The following is a 17,706-nucleotide window of genomic DNA, read 5'->3' on the forward strand; positions in this document are numbered from 1 at the left end:
GACATGTCTACTTGTGTTTATTCTCATTTTTGCTTTTTTTAAAAAAAAAAAAAAAATGAGGGATGGAGAGGGAAATAACCCATAAACACCGCGAACAGGAACCAAGACTCCAAGACTTGGGCATACTCCCTCTACCCTCAGCCTCAGTTCTCCAAGAGATTCCCACCCACCTGATTTTCTTTTAAACAAGACACCCAAATCAGCAGCAAAGGTACCTGGGGTAGTCACTGAGATTTTGAACACTGGGAATGGGAGGGGGAAAGTCCAAAAAGTAGAAGTTGGGAAGAAAAGGGAAGGATTGAGGGAGACGCTAGGCTCTGGAGGACAGAGCTGGGCCGCAGGAGGTGGAAGTAAGCCAGTATGGGGGGTACCCCTCCTGACTGCTGTTGCCCGTATTCCCCCAGACCCCAGAGAGCCCCACGGTTTGTTCTGCAGTCCATTCCCTATTCCCCAAAGGCCTCAGAGGCCTAACTCCAAGTCCTCTAACTCCTCTTCTAGCGCCCTCCTCCTTGCTAGCTTTTCTAGCTGCTCTTTGCTAGGCTGGCTGACTTCCCCAGCCTGGATCCGCTGCTGCAGCTCTTCCACCTGCCGGAGTTTCTTCTTTAGGTTCTTTATCTTCTTGGCTTTCTCAGTGGTGGCAGCTGAGTCAGGCTGGTCAGATGCAGCTGTGGGGGCTGCCCGAGAGCCCTGTGGAGCACTGGGGAGTTGGGCTGTCTCTTCCAGGGACACCTTATCAAGAGTCCTGCTCAAGGCCTCTGCCTCTCCTTTCTCTTGCTGCTGCCGCCTCTTCTCCTTTCGCTTCAGGTTACGTTTGGCTGTCTTGGAGAGGCCTGGTTCACCACCTTCAGGCCTGGATGGGGTGACAGGAGCAGTGGCCTCAGGGCTTAGCCCTGGGGGCAACTCTGGTTTACTCTTGAAAAACTTCACATACTTGTTTTCATATCTGCAGGAAACAAAGGATGTCAAGAGTTTCAGAGAATTACTGACTTTTTGATCCCTTTTCTTAAACTTCCAAACACTTCATCCTCATTACATTCTTGCTTCCTTTTTTTGTTGTTGTTTTTGTGGGGTTGTTTGTTTTTTGAGATAGAGTCTCGCTCAGTTGCCCAGGCTGGAGTGTAATGGCGCAATCTCAGCTCACTGCAACCTCCACCTCCAGGGTTCAAGCAATTCTCCTGCCTCAGCCTCCCGGGTAGCTGGGATTACAGGCGCCTGCCACCACGCCTGGCTAACTGTGTATTTTTAGTAGAGATGGGGTTTCACCATGTTGGTCAGGCTGGTCTTCAACTCCTGACCTCAGGTGATCCACCGATCTTGGCCTCCCAAAGTGCTTGGGATTACAGAGAGCCACTGCGCCTGCCTGTTTGTTTTTGAGACAGAGTCTCGCTCTGTCGCCAGGGCTGAAGTGCACTGGCGCAATCTCAGCTCACTGCAACCTCCCACTTCCCGGGTTCAAGAGATTCTCCTGCCTCAGCCTCCTGAGTAGCTGGGATTACAGGCTCGTGCCACCACGCCTGGCTGATGTTTGTATTTTGTAATTTTGTATTTTTAGTACAGACGGGGTTTCACCACTTTGGGGAGGCTGTTCTTGAACTCCTGACCTCAAGTAATCCACCTGCCTAGGCCTCCCAAAGTGCTCAGATTACAGATGTAGGCCACTGGGCCTGACCACCTTTCTCTCTTTATGGTCCCTCCCCAACTTTCCTCTGCTCTGCAGGAAAGATGCAGCGAAGTCCCTAGAACCTAAAGCTCTGGAGGTTCTAATGAACAGAGGTCAAAAGTATAGGACTAGTGATCTGTAACCCTCACTCATCCCTGAATCCCAGACTCTTTCTCTCCTTTCTCAGATAGTTGCCCCTCCTTCCATTTCCTTGGGGCTTAGGAGAGTCCTCCCTGAACTTGTAGGCATAAGGATATTCTATCCTTCTGTAGGGACCCCATCAGAAAACCCCTACGCAAAGCCTAACCACGTACACTGGGACCTCCTCCTGGGGCACATATCCTTCTTTCACCCTCCGCTGCTTGCGCCAGGTCCCGTCAGGTCGCTGTGTTGACGCGATATACTTGCCTAAAATAAGAAAAATCAAGTTGAAAATTACTCTTATTTTCAAACATTTTACAAGATGAGACAAGAATGTATAAATGTACATACCATCTCTCAGCACCCATTCATCCAAATGCAACCATTAGGCTCCTTTTCTCATACCAACACTCAATCCCTCTCTCATTATTTATTTACCGAGTGCCAATACACCGTACAAGAAACCATCCTTGCCCTCAAGAAGATTCTATTTGTAGGTAAGACAGGATAGGCACAGAGGAAGAATTTTGTTAAAAAACCAAGGCAATAGCATGGGAACATGAAAGGCAGTAAATGAACAAGAGGCTAAAAAGACACAAAAACCACGGGGAGGAGAAATGACAATAGCGGATGTTGTAAAGGAGAAATTTTATTTAGATGGAACTTAAAAAAATAGGTCAACTTTTAGGAATTCATACCATAGATACATACACACCAGTACACGAGGATGTATTTAAAGGGTATTTGGTTTTTGTTTCATTTTGTTTTGTTTTTAGATGGAGTTTCACTCTGTCACCAAGGCTGGAGTGCAGTGGTGCAATCTCAGCTCACCACAACCTCCACCTCCCAGGTTAGGTGATTCTCCTGCCTCAGCCTCCCGAGTAGCTAGGATTACAGGCCCCTGCCACCACATCCGGCTAATTTTTGTATTATTAGTAGAAATGGGTTTCGCCATGTCAGCCAGGCTAGTCTCGAACTCCTGACCTCAGGTGATCCGCCCGCCTCGGCCTCCCAAATTGCTGGGATTATAGGCATGAGCCACAGCGCCTGGCCTTTAAAGGGTATTCGTTGATGCATGATTTAAATTAGCAAAAAGCTGGCCAGGCACGGTGGCTCATGCCTATAATCCCAGCACTTTGGGAGGCCGAGGGGGTTGAATCACGAGGTCAGGAGTTCGAGACCAGCCTGACCAACATAGTGAAACCCCGTCTCTAATAAAAATACAAAAAAAAATTAGCTGGGCATGCTAGAGAGCGCCTGTAGTCCCAGCTACTCAGGAGGCTGAGGCAGGCAAATCACTTGAACCCAGGAGGCGGACATTGCAGTGGGCAGAGATTGCGCCACTGCACTCCAGCCTGGGCAACGGAGTGAGACTCCATCTCAAAAAAAAAAAAAAAAAAAAAAAAGAAAAAAAATTAGCAAAAAGCTGAAAGCAACTTAAAAGGCCATCAAGTGGAGTTCGAGACCAGCCTGGCCAACATGGTGAAACCCTGTCTCTACTAAAAATACAAAAATTAGCCGGGTGTGATGGCACACGTCTGTAATCCCAGCTACTGGGGAGGCCGAGGCACGAGAATCGCTTGAACCTGGGAGGCAGAGGTTGCAGTGAGTCTCAAAAAAAATAAAATAAATGTTCTGACACTGACTAGTGTTCAAGATACACTAAGTGAAAAAGCAAGCTGCAGGATAACATGTGGAGTAGTGGTCCTCTAACTTTTTTTATTTCAGGACCCCCTTTACACTGTTATTTTATAATATGCATATCATTATACAATATTTATTTATATTTATTTATTTATTTATTTTGAGACAGAGTCTCGCTCTGTCGCCCAGGCTGGAGTGCAGTGGCGCAATCTCGGCTCACTGCAAGCTCTGCCTCCCGGGTTCACGCCATTCTCCTGCCTCAGCCTCCCGAGTAGCTGGGACTACAGGCGCCTGCCACCACACCTGGCTAATTTTTTTTTTTTTTGTATTTTTAATAAAGACGGGGTTTCACCATGTTAGCCAGAATGGTCTCAATCTCCTGACCTCATTATCCGCCTGCCTCAGCCTCCCAAAGTGCTGGGATTACAGGTGTGAGCCACCGTGCCTGGCCTATTATACAATATTTAAAAGAGATCATATTCATTAATCTCATCACTAAAGTATTTAAGTACATGGAAGCTATCAAGCTCAGAATGGGAAATATAAGTTTTCCAAAATTCTTGGCAGGGCACAGTAGCTCATGCCTGTAATCCCAACACTTTGAGAGGCTGAGGCGGGCGGATCATCTGAGGTCAGGAGTTCGAGAGCAGCCTGGCTAATATGACAAAACCCTGTCTCTACTAAAAATACAAAAATTAGCTGGGCGTGGTGGCAGGCGCCTGTAATCCTAGCTACCCGGGAGGCTGAGGCAGGGAGAACTGCTTGAACCCACGAGGCGGAGGTTGCAGTGAGTGGAGATTGCGCCACTGCACTCCAGCCTGGGTGACAGAGCGAGACTCCAACCCAATTAAAAAATATATATATATGTATATATATATATATTTTATAGAATTTTGGAAAATTTATTTTATATTATATATATATTATTATTATTATATAAAATAAATAAGTTTTCAAAAATTCTAATTTTCTATATATATTAGATATATATATTATATATTAGATATATATATATCTATTAGATATATATATTATTATATATATCTAATAGATATATATATTATTATATATATCTAATAGATATATATATTATTATATATATCTAATAGATATATATATTATTATATATAATATAAAATAAATAAGTTTTCCAAAATTCTAATTTTCACCTAAGTGTTTGAATTTTATCATTGGCGAGAAAAACTATCAGTTGTTTTCCTTCACTTTCACTTCCTTCATTTTCAGGAAAATGATCATTGGATAGTCAGGTCTGAATTACCATAGTTTGTCAGTGTTTTTTTTTTTCAAGTAAAAAATACTGCTCCATGAGAAGAAAGTTTGTTCAGCTTGCAATTCAGACAACCATCCTACTTCGGTATGCAGCAGAAGTGTTTCATGCTTACTTCCCATGAGTCACAGAGAACATTAAAAAAATATGTATTCAAGGGCTGGGCTTAATACAATTAATCATTTTCATTGTATCATCAATGATATCCTTAGGTGAAACTGGCATTTACAGCAAGTGTGTGGCAGTGAAGAACAAAATGATTAGTATAATTTGGTGCCACTGCCCTGACAAATGCATGCTTACAGGGCCAGCAGTTTCACCAACCATGTCTTTTGCACCATTGGTGCAAAGTCAACCCCATGAAAAAGACAAATAAATAAGCATGATTATGAGAATAGTTTTGCTTGCAGACCTTCTGAAAGAGTCTCAGGGACCCCCTTAAGGGTCCTGAACCACACTTTGAGAATCGCTGATATAGAGTATGGTACTATTTTATTTTATTTATTTATTGATTGATTTTGAGATGGAGTTTCGCTCTTGTTGCCCAGGCTGGAGTGCAATGGTGCAGTCTCGGCTCACTGCAACCTCCTCCTCCCAGATTCAAGTGATTCTCCTGCCTCAGCCTCCTGAGTAGCTGGGATTACAGGCATGCACCACAATACCTGGCTAATTTTGTGTTTTTAGTAGAGACGGGATTTCTCTGTATTGGTCAGGCTGGTAGCAAACTCCCGACCTCAGGTGATCCACCCGCCTCGGCCTCCCAAAGTCCTGAGATTACAGGTGTGAGCCACCGCACCCAGCCAGTATGGTACTATTCTTGTTGGAGTAAAGGGCAACACTTAAAGACATGTAGTCTGTGTACAGGGACAAAGAAAAAGGTGTGCAAGGACACATACCAAACTGTTAATACATATCAAACATATATATATATATGTTAAGAGAGAAAGTTAACATATATATATATATATATATGTTTTGTTGTAGCTCTCTTATTTTAAGTATTACTTTTGTAAAAATAAAGAAAAAAGATTTTTAAGGCCAGATGCGGCGGTTCACACCTGTAATCCCAGCAATTTGGGAGGTTGAAGTGGGTGGATCACACAAGTCCAGGAGTTCCAGACCAGCCTGGCCAATATGGCAAAACCCTGCCTCTACTAAAAATACAAAAATTGGCAAGGCAAGGTGGCTCACACCTGTAATCCCAGCACTTTGGGAGGCCGAGGCAGGTGGATTGCCTGAACTCAGGAGTTCAAAACCAGCCTGGACAACATGGTGAAACCCTGTCTCTACATACAAAACCCTGTCTCTACATAAATACAAAAAAAAAAAAAAAAAAAAATTAGCCGGGCACGGCGGCATGCGCTTGTAATCCCAGCTACTTGGGAGGTTGAAGCAGGAGAATCACTTGAAACAGGGGGTTGGAGGTTGCAGTAAGCCGAGATTGAGCCACTGCACTCCAGCCTGGTGACAGAGCGAGACTTCGTCTGGGAAAAAAAAAAAAAAAAATTGGAGGCCAGGCGCAGTGGTGCACACCTGTAATCCCAGCACTTTGGGAAGCTGAGGTGAGTGGATCACTTAAGGTCAGGAGTTCGAGACCAGCCTGGCCAACATGGTGAAACCCCATCTCCATTAAAAACACAAAAATTAGCTGGGTGTGGTGGCAAGTGCCTGTAGTCTCAGCTACTCAGGAGGCTGAGGCAGGAAAATCACTTGAACCCGGGAAGTGGGGTTGCAGTAGGTCAAGATCATGTCATTGCACTCCAACCTGGGCAACAGAGCGAGACTCCGTCTCAAAAAAATAAAAAATAAAAAATAAGGCTGGGCATGGTGGCTCATGCCTGTAATCCCAGCACTTTGGGAGGCTGAGGTGGGCGGATTACTTGAGGTCAGGAGTTCGAGACCAGCCTGGCCAACATGGTGAAACCCTGTCTCTACAAAAATACAAAAAATATCCAGGCGTGGTGGCGGGCGCCTTTAATCCCAGCTACTTGGGAGGGTAAGGCAGGAGAATCACTTGAACCCGGGAGGTGGAGGTTGCAGTGAGCCAAGATTGCACCGCTGCACTCCAACCTGGGCGACAGAGAAAGACTCCATCTCAAAAAGTAAAAATAAGTAAAATAAATAAAAATAAAAAAATTAGCTGGGCATGGTGGCACGTTTGTAATCCCAGCTACTGGGGACGCAGAGGCATAAGAATTGCTTGAGCCCAGGAGGTGGAGTTTGCAGTGAGCCAATATCGTGCTACTGCACTCCAGCTTGGGCAACAGAGTGAAAATCTTTCTCAAAAAAAAAAAAAGAAGAAAGAAAAAAGAAAAAAAGACTTTTAAAATAAATGTCTAGGGCCTCCTACATGAATTATATATTATTACATGAATTGGTTTTTTGTTCAAAATGCAAATATCATTAATACATTAAAACAAAAAAGTCCAGGCGCACGGGCCCACTCCTGTACTCCTACCACTTTGCGAGGCCGAGGCAGGCAGATCACCTGAGATCAGGAGTTCGAGACCAGCCTGGCCAAAATTGTGAAACCCCATCTCTACTAAAATACAAAAAATAGCCAGGAGTGGTGGCTGGGCGTCTGTAATCCCAGCTACTCCAGAGGCTGAGGCAGGAGAATCACTTGAGCCCAGGAGGCGGAGGCTGCAGTGAGCCAAGATCATACCATTGCACTCCAGCCTGGGTGACAGAGCAAGACTCTGTCTCCAAAAAAAAAATAAAATAAAACAAAAAAAGTTGTTAAAGGCAATGGGTGATTCGACAGGTGGAGGGCATGGAAGAAAGAAAAATCATGAGCAAAGGGGCTCAAACTTGAGCAAAGAAAGGCATGGATGTGGGAATGGGCGTGAGTAGGGAACAGAAAGTTGAGAGGTTCAGGTGAATGAGACAGTTCATGTTAGGGAATAGGAAGCCTGGTTGGAAATGAAAAATGGGGTAATCGCAGAAAGCCTTAAAAACAAGGTCAAGAACTTTGGACTTTACTGGGTGAGTAAAACATAACTACTATGGATATTTTTTGCCCAGCTGTGACAAGAATAAAAACCAAAGAAAAAAAACTAGGAGGCTTCCTGGAGGGAGGACTGAGACAAGAGCTGGGCTTTGAAGGAAGAGTCAAACTAAACAAAAAGGGAGACAGAGTAGATTAGAAACAGTTCGTTCTCAAACAAAAACTCACGCATGGGAATGTAGATAGCATTTTCAGGCAACGACAAATAGACCAGTCAGGCTGAGCCAGAGACAAGGGCTGGAATGTTCAGACCTTGAATACCAGTTAAAGATTTTAATATCTGGCACATGGCATGCACTCAACAAATATTTGTCAAATGAATTAATCCTTTATGCGAAGTATTGTCTTAGGGCTTTGAATAAATGAATGAATCCTTTATACAAAGCAGTGTTTCAGAGTATTTAATCTAGCATAATAAAAGGGTGACTTGGAAAAAAAAAAAAAACACCAGAGACATGGAAACTAGTTAGGGAAAAAATATTGTGATAATCCTGGCATGAAGGGACAGAATTGGCTGAAACAGGGGCACTGGAACGTAAGAGACTAAGGGCAGATACATTATCAAAGAATCAACATTTGGTAATTCACTAACTAGGGAAGGAGTAAGAGGATAAGAAATCAAAGATAATTCAGTACACTTTTTATTTTAGTAATCTCAATGTCCACAATTTACCATAAACAGTTACTATCGGAAAAAATAAAAACAAAAAAGAGAGGAAGAGATAATCATATGAATATGATAAGCATTATCAATAAATAGCGAAAGGTCAGGCACAGTGGCTCATGGCTGTAATCCCAGCACTTTGGGAGGCCAAGATGGGAGGATCCCTTGAGCCCAGGCATTCAAGACCAGCCTGAGCAACATAGGGAGACCCCTGTCTTTACGAACTATACAAAAATTAGCTGTGTATGGTTAGTGGCATGTACCTGTGCTACCAGCTACTCAGGAGGGTGACCTGTGTTGATGAAAAGAGTCAAACTCTGTAAAATATTTTTAGAGATTCTGAGCCAAATATAAGTGACCATGGCCTCTGACACTGACCTTAGGAGGTCCTGAGAACATGTGCCCTAGGTGCTTGAGGTACGGCTTGGTTTTATACATATATATATATATATATATATATATATATATATAAAATTTTTTTTGAGACGGAATCTCACTCTGTCTCTCAGGCTGGAGTGCAGTAGCCCGATCCCGGCTCACTGCAATCTCCGCCTCCCCGGTTAAAGTGATTTTCCTGCCTCAGCCTGCCGAGTAGCTGGGACTACAGCGCATCACCACACCTGGCTAATTACTGTTTTTGTTTTTTGACACAGTCTAACCCTGTTGCCCAGGCTGGAGTGTAGTGGCATGATCTTGGCTCACTGCAACCTCCGCCTCCTGGGTTCAAGTGATTCTCTTGCCTCAGTCTCCCGAGTACCTGGGACTACAGGAGCCCACTACCACGCCCAGCTAATTTTTTGTATTTTTAGTAGAGACAGGGTTTCGCCATGTTGGCCAGGCTGGTCTCAAACTCCTGACCTCAGGTGATCCACCCACCTCAGCCTCCCAAAGTGTTGGGATTGCAGGCGTGAGCCACCACACCTGGTTTTATATATTTTAGGGAGGCATGAGACATCACTCAAATACATTTAAGAAATACATTGGTTTGGTTCAGAAAGGTGGGATGACTCAAAGCAGGGGGCTTCCAGGCTATAGGTAAATTTAAACATTTCTGGTTGACAATTGGTTGAGTTTGTCTAAAGGCCTGAGATCGATAGAAAGGTTCAGGTTCAGATAAAAGATTGTGGAGACCAAGGTTCTTTTGAAGTCTTATGGTGGCTACCCTTAGAGACAACAGATGACAAACGTTTCCTATTCAGTTCTTTAAAAGGTGCTAGACTTTTAGTTAACCTCTTCGGCATTGGGAGAGCCTGGAAGAAATAGATCTAGCTATGTTAATACAGAATTTTATTTATTTATTTATTTTTTTGAGATGGAGCTTTGCTCTTGTAGCCCAGGCTGGAGTGCAGTGGCACCATCTCTGCTCACTGCAACCTCCGCCTCCCAGGTTCAAACGATTCTCCTGCCTCAGCCTCCCGAGTAGCTGGGATTACAGATGTGTGCCACCACGTCCGGCTAATTTTTATATATTTTTAAGTAGAGATGGGGTTTTGCCATGTTGGCCAAGCTGGTCTTGAACTCCTGACCTCATGTGATCCACCCGCCTCGGCCTCCCAAAGTGCTGAGATTATAGGTGTGAGTGACTGAGCCCGGCCTGTTAATAGAGATTTTTTACAGATGCAGTTTCCCCTACAAAGGTCGGCTTTGCAGAGCCATTTTAAGATACGGCAAGAAACATGTTTTGGGGTAAAATATTTTTATTTTCTTGTTATGTCAGAGTCAAATTGAAAAGTAAGTAACGAGGCCAGCCATGGTGGCTCACGCCTGTAATCACAGCACTTTGGGAGGCCAAGGTGGGTGGATCACCTGAGGTCAGGAGTTTAAAACCAGCCTGGCCAACATGGTGAAACGCTGTCTCTAGTAAAAATACAAAAATTAGCTGGGAGTGGTGGCGGGCGCCTGTAATCCCAGCTACTCGGGAGGCTGAGGCAGGAGAATCACTTGATCCCAGGAGGGGGAGGTTGCAATGAGCCGAGACTGCGCCACTGCACTCTAGCCTGGGTGACAAGAGCGAAACTCCATCAAGAAAAGAGAAGGGGAGGGGAGGGGAGGGGAGATACAGGGTTAAATAACCCATCTGATGAGAACTTATGGTTTGTAGGGCATGACTCCCCAGACCCCTTAGATAGGAATTTTGGCAAGATAAAAAAAGTCAGAGCTTAGTCCTCATGTGGTAGGATCAATTGAGTCTTGGACAACATATTGAGACCCTATCTCTATTTTAAAAACTTTTTTGAAAATAATGTGCAAGGCAGGGTATAGTGGCTCATGCCTGTAATGCCAACACTTTGGGAAGCCGAGGCAGGTGGGTCACCTGAGGTCAGGAATTCGAGACCAGCCCGGCCAACATGGTGAAACCCTATCTCTACGAAAATAAAAAAAAAAATTAGCTGGGCATGGTGGTGCATGCCTGTAGTCCCAGCTACTCAGGAGGCTAAGGTGGGACAATCACTTGAGTCTGGGAAGTGGAGGTTGCAGTGAACCGAGATCACGCCACTGCACTCCAGCCTGGGTGATAGAGCGAGACTCCACCTCAAAAAATTAAAAAAAGAAAAGAACATGCAATAATGAAAATTCTATTGGGGTGATAAGATAACTTTTCTGTTAAAAATTTCCATTAGGCCAGGCGTGGTGGCTCACGCCTGTAATCCCAGCTACTTGGGAGGCTGAGGCAGGAGAATTGCTTGAACTTGGGAGGCAGAGGCTGCAGTGAGCCAAGATCGTGCCATCGCACTCCAGCCTGGGCAACAGGAGCAAAACTCCGCAAGAGGGGGGAAAAAAAAAAGGCCTTCTTGATTTACCTCTTGCTAGTTTTCAGCCTCTTAGCATAAAGCCACCATACTCTCTGCTCTAGAAACAAATATTTGGCTGGGTGCAGTGGTTCACGTATGTAATCCCAGCACTTTGGGAGGCGGAGGCGGGTGGATCATCTGAGGTCAGGAGTTCGAGACCAGCCTGGCCAACATGGAGAAACCCCATTTCTACTAAAATACAAAAATTAGCAGGTCACTGTGGCAAGCTCCTGTAATCCCAGCTACTTGGGAGCCTGAGGCAGGAGAATCACTTGAACCCGGGAGGCGGAGGTTGCAGTGAGCCAAGATCACGCCATTGCACTCCAGCCTGGGCAACAAGAGCAAAACTCCGTCTCAAAAGAAAAAAAAAAAATAGAAACTAAAATATTCACAAATCTCAACCTGACCCATGTCTCTATTCTCTGTACCTTTTTGCTTTTGCTTCCTCTGGCCTGGAATAGACTATATTTGCTTATCTTAAGTTCATTCCCATTGGTCTTTAAAGGTCAAATTCAAGTATCAACTCAAGGCAGCCTTCCTGACTTCCTTACGCCAAGCCAGGTTAAAACTTGCTTTCTGTGCACTCGCAGCACCTGTTTTAGCTTTTATCATGCTCTAATGCTTAACATAATTATTTGCTTGTTGGAAAGCAGAAACTGTCTTTGAACTTTGTAGCAAAGAGCCTGGCCCACAGAAGACAGTAAATATGGACTGAATTAATGAATAAATGTGAGTATCTCATCAGGGAAGAGCAAGAATCCAGAATGTTCTGGGCAAAAAGCATATGTAACGTGAAAAGAGACTCAGGGTAAATTAGTGAGACTATGAAAGGTCTCCAACCTCCACTGAGTTTGGACTGAAGCCTTAAGCTGTAGAATACTGATGGCCAATAAGGGAGTACAGGTGATCTGTTCAAAGCAATGATTTAAGATTAAACTGAAAAATGTGTACCATAAACTAAAGGTAGAGAAAATGAAAACAACAGCTGCAATGTGAAAAGACTTGACTTCGATGGTTTCTACAGGTAATGAAAGGAAAATGAAGGAGAAATTCATTGTGAAGATTAAATCAACAGGATCCAAAGACTTACCAAGATGTGAATTAGAGAGGAAATAATCAAAACAGTGACACAGTGGATTTAATCTCGTGCTTTTCACATGTATTCTTATTTTTCTCAATATACGGTAGGGCACATGGTAATCACATTTATTCACACGTGGATTTTAAATTTTTATTGAGCACTTACTCTTGTGCCAGACACTGTAACAGAAGCTAGGAATACAACAATGAATAAAGCAAGCAAGGTTCTTGCCTTCTTAGAGTATACATTCTAGTGAGAAAGATAACAAACAAGAACACAACTATTTATAATTATCACTCTTGAATTTGGAAAATTGGGAAAATAAAAACTACTGATATAAACAAAGTCCACAGGGGAAAACAACTTTGTGGAAACAATTCAATTCAGGCAAGTGTTTTACATGGAATTTGGGAGAAAGGGACAATACTACAAACATATATTTAAGTTGATTGCATAGAGATTATAGCTGAAGGTTTAGGAGGACTAAAGATAGACTGTAATGAAAGGCAGAGCAGAAGCTTCTTGAATGGCCATCCTGTGTGGAAGCCCTCAGAGATACAAATAGCCCATTATCACAAAGGAGCACCTATTTTATGTTATCTTGGTTCCATCCTCTGGCCTTGATGGTATCCAAGGGTGAAGTCAAAAAGAAGGGAGAGGTTTGGCGGTTCCCACCCCTAGAAATAAAAACCAAGGGCAAAATATCAGGACTTTCAGATAATATCTTGCAGAGAGTCAAAAACTAGAGATTGGGGACTGCTACTGTAAGAATCTTTTTAAGCTTTGTCATTTTCTCACATCTGCCGTTTTTTAATTCTCAATCTATTTCCTTAAGTCTGTCAGCAATAAAAACTCTTACACTGAAAGGGTCCTTGTTTCCAGGGGTTGCAGGTAGACAGTGAAAAGACAACATAGCAAGGCATGGAGGAACTCCAAAGAGGTAGGGGACATGGTTGTTAAAGGTATGAGACCTTTTTCAAATAAGAAAAGAGATCTAAGTCACAGGTCTCAGCCTGCGGATGATCTCAGGGCCAAAATAAGACCTGGATGTGGTTTCCAACACAGAGAAAATATAACAAAGAGAAGATGAGAGCTGGAGGAATGACCCTGAAATAATGATCATAATCATTTCCCTCAAGGAAGAAAAGGTGACAGCAACAACAGGAAATGATTCATAGGAAAGGAAGACCAGGACATGCTAAGCCATGGAGACCAACAGTTTTAAATAAAGGTAGGTAGGTGATGGCCGGGCATGGTGGCTCACACCTGTAATCCCAGCACTTTGGGAGGCCGAGGTGGGTGGATCACGAGGTCACGAGATGGAGACCATCCTGGCTAACACGATGAAACCCCATCTCCACTAAAAATAGAAAAAATTAGCCGGGCATGGAGGCACATGCCTGCAGTCCCAGCTACTCAGGAGGCTGAGGCAAGAGAATCCCTTGAAGGCGGGAGGCAGAGGTTGCAGTAAGCCAAGATCGTGCCACTGCACTCCAGCCTGGGCAACAGTCCAAGACTCTGCCTAAAAAAAAAAAAAAAAAAAAAAAGTAAAGGTAGGTGATTAACAGTATTAAATACTGCAGAGAGATCAAGGAAAGGAGAACTGAGAAAAAGGTTCTGGCTTTGGCATTTTGGAAATCCCTGGTTATCTCCACAAATACAGCCTCAGAAAAGCACGGTGGTAAAGAGGCCAGACTACAAATTAAACAAAATAAACATTAAAAGCCTCCTAGCTGGGCTTGGTGGCACACACCTGTAATCCCAGCTACTCGGGAGGCTGAGACAGGAGAATCACTTGATCCTGGGAGGCAGAGGTTGCAGATCATGCCATTGCACTCCAGCCTGGGCGACAGAGCAAGAGTTTATCTTTAAAAAAAAAAAAAAAAAGCCTCCTAGAAGAAAAGTACCGTAAGTGCCAATAGGGTTATCAAGATGAGTAAGATGGTCCCAATTTTCAAAAAATTTACAGACTAAGTAAGGAGGAAGTGGGCAAATTAGGCAAGCAAAGCATAAGACAAAAGTAAGAGTGTCGTAAGTATCCTAAGAGATGACAGGAGATAATCAGGAAAACCTCATTTGACACTAAAGACTAGAAAGTAGTAATAATTAATGATAACAACAAATCAGCAGCCAGTATTTCTGCAGGCAGAGAAAAGGGAAAGGGGATAAGAGGAACAACAAAAGCAAAATCCTAGCAGTGGAAAACTCAGTATTTAAGAATGATTAGTAAAGAGTATTTATTAATAAGTAGCTACATTACAGGAGGAACTTTGTATACATCATCCTGTTAAATCTAAACGATAGATAGATATCATCATTTACAGCCAAGGAAACAGTCTTCAAGAGGTTAAACACATGGTCAAGTCTTGGTGCGGTGGCTCACGCCTGTAATCCCAGCACTTTGGGAGGCCAAGGCGGGCGGATCACCTGAGGTCAGGAGTTCGAGACCAGCCTGGCCAACATGGCGAAGCCCCATCTCTACTAAAAATACAAAAATTAGCCAGACGTGCTGGCACATGCTTGTAATCCCAGCTACTCGGGAGGCTGAGACAGGAGAATTGCTTGAAGTCAGGAGGCAGAGGTTGCAGTGAGCTGAAACCACACCAGTGCACTCTAGCCTGGGTGACAGAGTGAGACTCCAGCTCAAAAAAAAAAAAGACATGGTCAAGATCCCAAAGGTAGCACATATCTGTAACCTGAACTCAAGTCTGATGCCAAAGCTTACACACCATCGCACTGCTGTTCCACATCAGCCATACAGCCCAGTTTCACTAGAGGGTATGGGCAAAAACATAGCATGTGATAATACTACATTTAAAAGTAGTCAGCCAGGCACGGTGACTCACGCCTGTAATCCCAGTACTTTGGGAGGCAGAGGCGGGCGGATCACCTGAGGTCAGGAGTTCAAGACCAGCCTGACCAACATGGAGAAAGCCCCGTCTCTACTAAAAATACAAAAATTAGCCAGGTGTGGGGCACATGTCTGTAATCCCAGCTACTCGGGAGGCTGAGGCAGAAGAATCACTTGAACCCGGGAGGTGGATGTTGCGGTGAGCCGAGGTCAGGCCATTGCACTCCACAGCCTGGGCAACAACAGCAAAAGTCGGTCTCAAAAAAAGAAAAAAAGAAAGTAGTCTGAGGTTGGGCGTGGTGGTTCATGCCTCTAATCCCAACACTTTGGGAGGCTGAGGCAGGCAGATCGCTTGCATCCAGGAGTTCAAGACCAGCCTGGGCAACATGGTGAAACCTCTTCTCTACAAAAATTAGCTGGGCATGGTGGCGCACACCTGTAATCCCAGCTACTTGGGAGGCTAAGCTGGGAGGATCACTTGAACCCAGGAGGTCAAGCCAGCAGTAAACTGCAATCACACCACTGTACTCCAGCCTGGGCAACAGAGTGAAACTCTGTCTCAAAAATAAAAAAAAATTTAAAAAGTAGTTTGTCAGCTGGGCGCAGTGGCTCACCATGCCTGCAATCCCAGCACTTTGGGAGACCAAGACGGGTGGATCACCTGAGGTCAGGAGCTCGAGACCAGCCTGGCCAACATGGTGAAAGCCCGTCTCTACTAAAAATAAAAAAAATTAGCCGGGCGTGGTGGTGGGTGCCTATAATCTCAGCTACTTGGGAGGCTGAGGCAAGAGATCACTTGAACCCAGGAGGCAGAGGTTGCAGGGAGCCAAGGTCGCACCATTGCACTCCAGCCTGGGCAACAAGAGCAAGACTCCATCTCAAAACAAAAAAAAATTAATTAATTAAATAAAAAGTAGTCTGTCACAGCCATAAAGAGCAAAATAATGTCCTTTGTAGCAACATGGATGCAGCTGAGGGCCATTATCCTAAGCAAATTAACACAGGAACAGAAAACCAAATACTGCATGTTCTCACTTATAAGTAGGAGCTAAACACTGGGTACTCACGGACATAAAGATGGCAGCAACAGACATTGGGGATTATTAGAGGCGGGCACGGGTTTAAAAACTATCTACTGGGGCCAGGCACAGTGGCTCACGCCTGTAATCCCAGCACTTTGGGAGGCCAAGCTAGATGGATCGCCTGAGGTCAGGAGTTGGAGACCAGCCTGGCCAACACGGTGAAACCCCAACTCTACTAAATACAAAACTCAGCCGGTCATGGTGGTGCATGCCTGTAATCCCAGCTACTTGGGATGCTGAGGCAGGAGAATCACTTCAACCCGGGAGATAGAGGTTGTAGTGAGCCAAGATCACACCACTGAACTCCAGCCTGGGCAACAAAGCAAGACTCCATCACAAAAAACAAACAAACAAACAAAAAAAAAACTTAACTATTGGGTACTAAGCTCACTATCTGGGTGATGGGATCACTCATACCCCAAACCTCAGCATCACATAATTATACCCATGTAACAAACCTACACATTTTCTTTTTTTTTTTTTTCTTTTTTTTGAGACGGAGTCTCGCTCTGTCGCCCAGGCTAGAGTGCAGTGGCGTGATCTCGGCTCACTGCAAGCTCCGCCTCCCGGGTTCACGCCATTCTCCTGCCTCAGTCTCCCGAGTAGCTGGGACTACAGGTGCCCGCCACCATGCCCGGCTAAGTTTCTTTTGTATTTTTAGTAGAGATGGGGTTTCACCGTGTTAACCAGGATGGTCTCAATCTCCTGACCTCATGATCCGCCCGCTTCGGCCTCCCAAAGTGCTGGGATTACAGGCGTGAGCCACTGCGCCCAACCACAAACCTGCACATTTTCTAAATCTAAAATAAAAATGGAAATCAACAAATAGGCCAGGCATGGTGGCTCACGTCTGTAATCCCAGCACACTAGGAGGCTGACGTAGGAGGATCACTTGAGCCCAGGAGTTCAAGACCATCCTGGGTAAGATGGTAAGACCTCCATCTCTATAAAAAATTTAAAAATTAGGCTGGACATGGTGGCTTACACCTGTAATCCCAGCACTGGGAGGCCAAGGCGGGTGGATCACCTGAGGTCAGGAGTTTGAGGCCAGCCTGGCCAACACGGTGAAACCCCGTCTCTACTAAAAATACAAAAATTAGCTGGGCGTGGTGGCACGTGCCTGTAGTCCCAGCTACTTGGGAGGCTGAGACAGGAGAATCGCTTGAACCTGAGAGGCAGAGGTCGCACTGAGCCGAGATTGCACCACTGCACTCCAGCCTGGGCGACAGAGCAAGCGTCCATCTCAAAAAAACAAAAATAAAAAAGGTAGTCCTATCATTTAATCACATTTCCCAAAGCTTTTGTTATGTAAAATACTACTCCCATAAGATATTAAACAGGGGTTATCCCTAAAAATTGTTAAATAAGTTTGGGAAATTCTGGGTTAAACACCAAAAAAGATTTTGCGTTTGTTTTTTTTAACAGCAAGGCTTAAATGAGTTACTATGTTCTTATTCAGGTACATATGCAAGATGGGAATATGGTTTACAGTGTTT

The 17,706-nt window shown here is 44.4% G+C and overlaps 1 protein-coding gene and 1 long non-coding RNA gene across 5 annotated transcripts in view, besides 1 other annotated feature; both read right to left on the reverse strand.

The window, feature by feature from the left end:
- PYM1 (PYM1 exon junction complex associated factor) overlaps positions 1-17,706 on the reverse strand; it is a 26,482-nt gene continuing 8,776 nt past the window's right edge. For both annotated transcript variants that reach the window (NM_032345.3, NM_001143853.1), the window contains 2 exon segments: positions 1,975-2,068; positions 1-943 (listed from right to left, as the gene is read on the reverse strand). In NM_032345.3, coding sequence (NP_115721.1) covers positions 460-943; positions 1,975-2,068 — 578 coding nt within the window. In that variant the 3' untranslated portion in view covers positions 1-459.
- Positions 7,206-7,354: a silencer, noted in NCBI's record as "fragment chr12:56302402-56302550 (GRCh37/hg19 assembly coordinates)". NCBI's record gives its function as "represses an EF-1alpha promoter that drives an FKBP-Casp9 reporter gene in an ReSE screen in phorbol 12-myristate 13-acetate-treated (for megakaryocytic differentiation) K562 erythroleukemia cells {active_cell/tissue: K562(+PMA)}" and the evidence as "EXISTENCE:reporter gene assay evidence [ECO:0000049][PMID:32094911]".
- LOC124902941 (uncharacterized) overlaps positions 12,414-17,706 on the reverse strand; it is a 9,946-nt gene continuing 4,653 nt past the window's right edge. The window contains exons 1-2 of one of the 3 annotated variants that reach the window (XR_007063327.1): positions 15,565-16,336; positions 12,414-12,954 (exon numbers count right to left, since the gene is read on the reverse strand). This is a non-coding gene — a long non-coding RNA (uncharacterized LOC124902941). Of the gene's footprint in view, positions 12,955-14,030; positions 14,121-15,564; positions 16,337-17,706 lie in introns of those variants that run through there. The other 2 variants (XR_007063326.1, XR_007063325.1) reach the window with 2 other exon arrangements.

This window comes from Homo sapiens, chromosome 12, assembly GCF_000001405.40.
Source record: "Homo sapiens chromosome 12, GRCh38.p14 Primary Assembly".
NCBI lineage: Eukaryota > Metazoa > Chordata > Mammalia > Primates > Hominidae > Homo > Homo sapiens.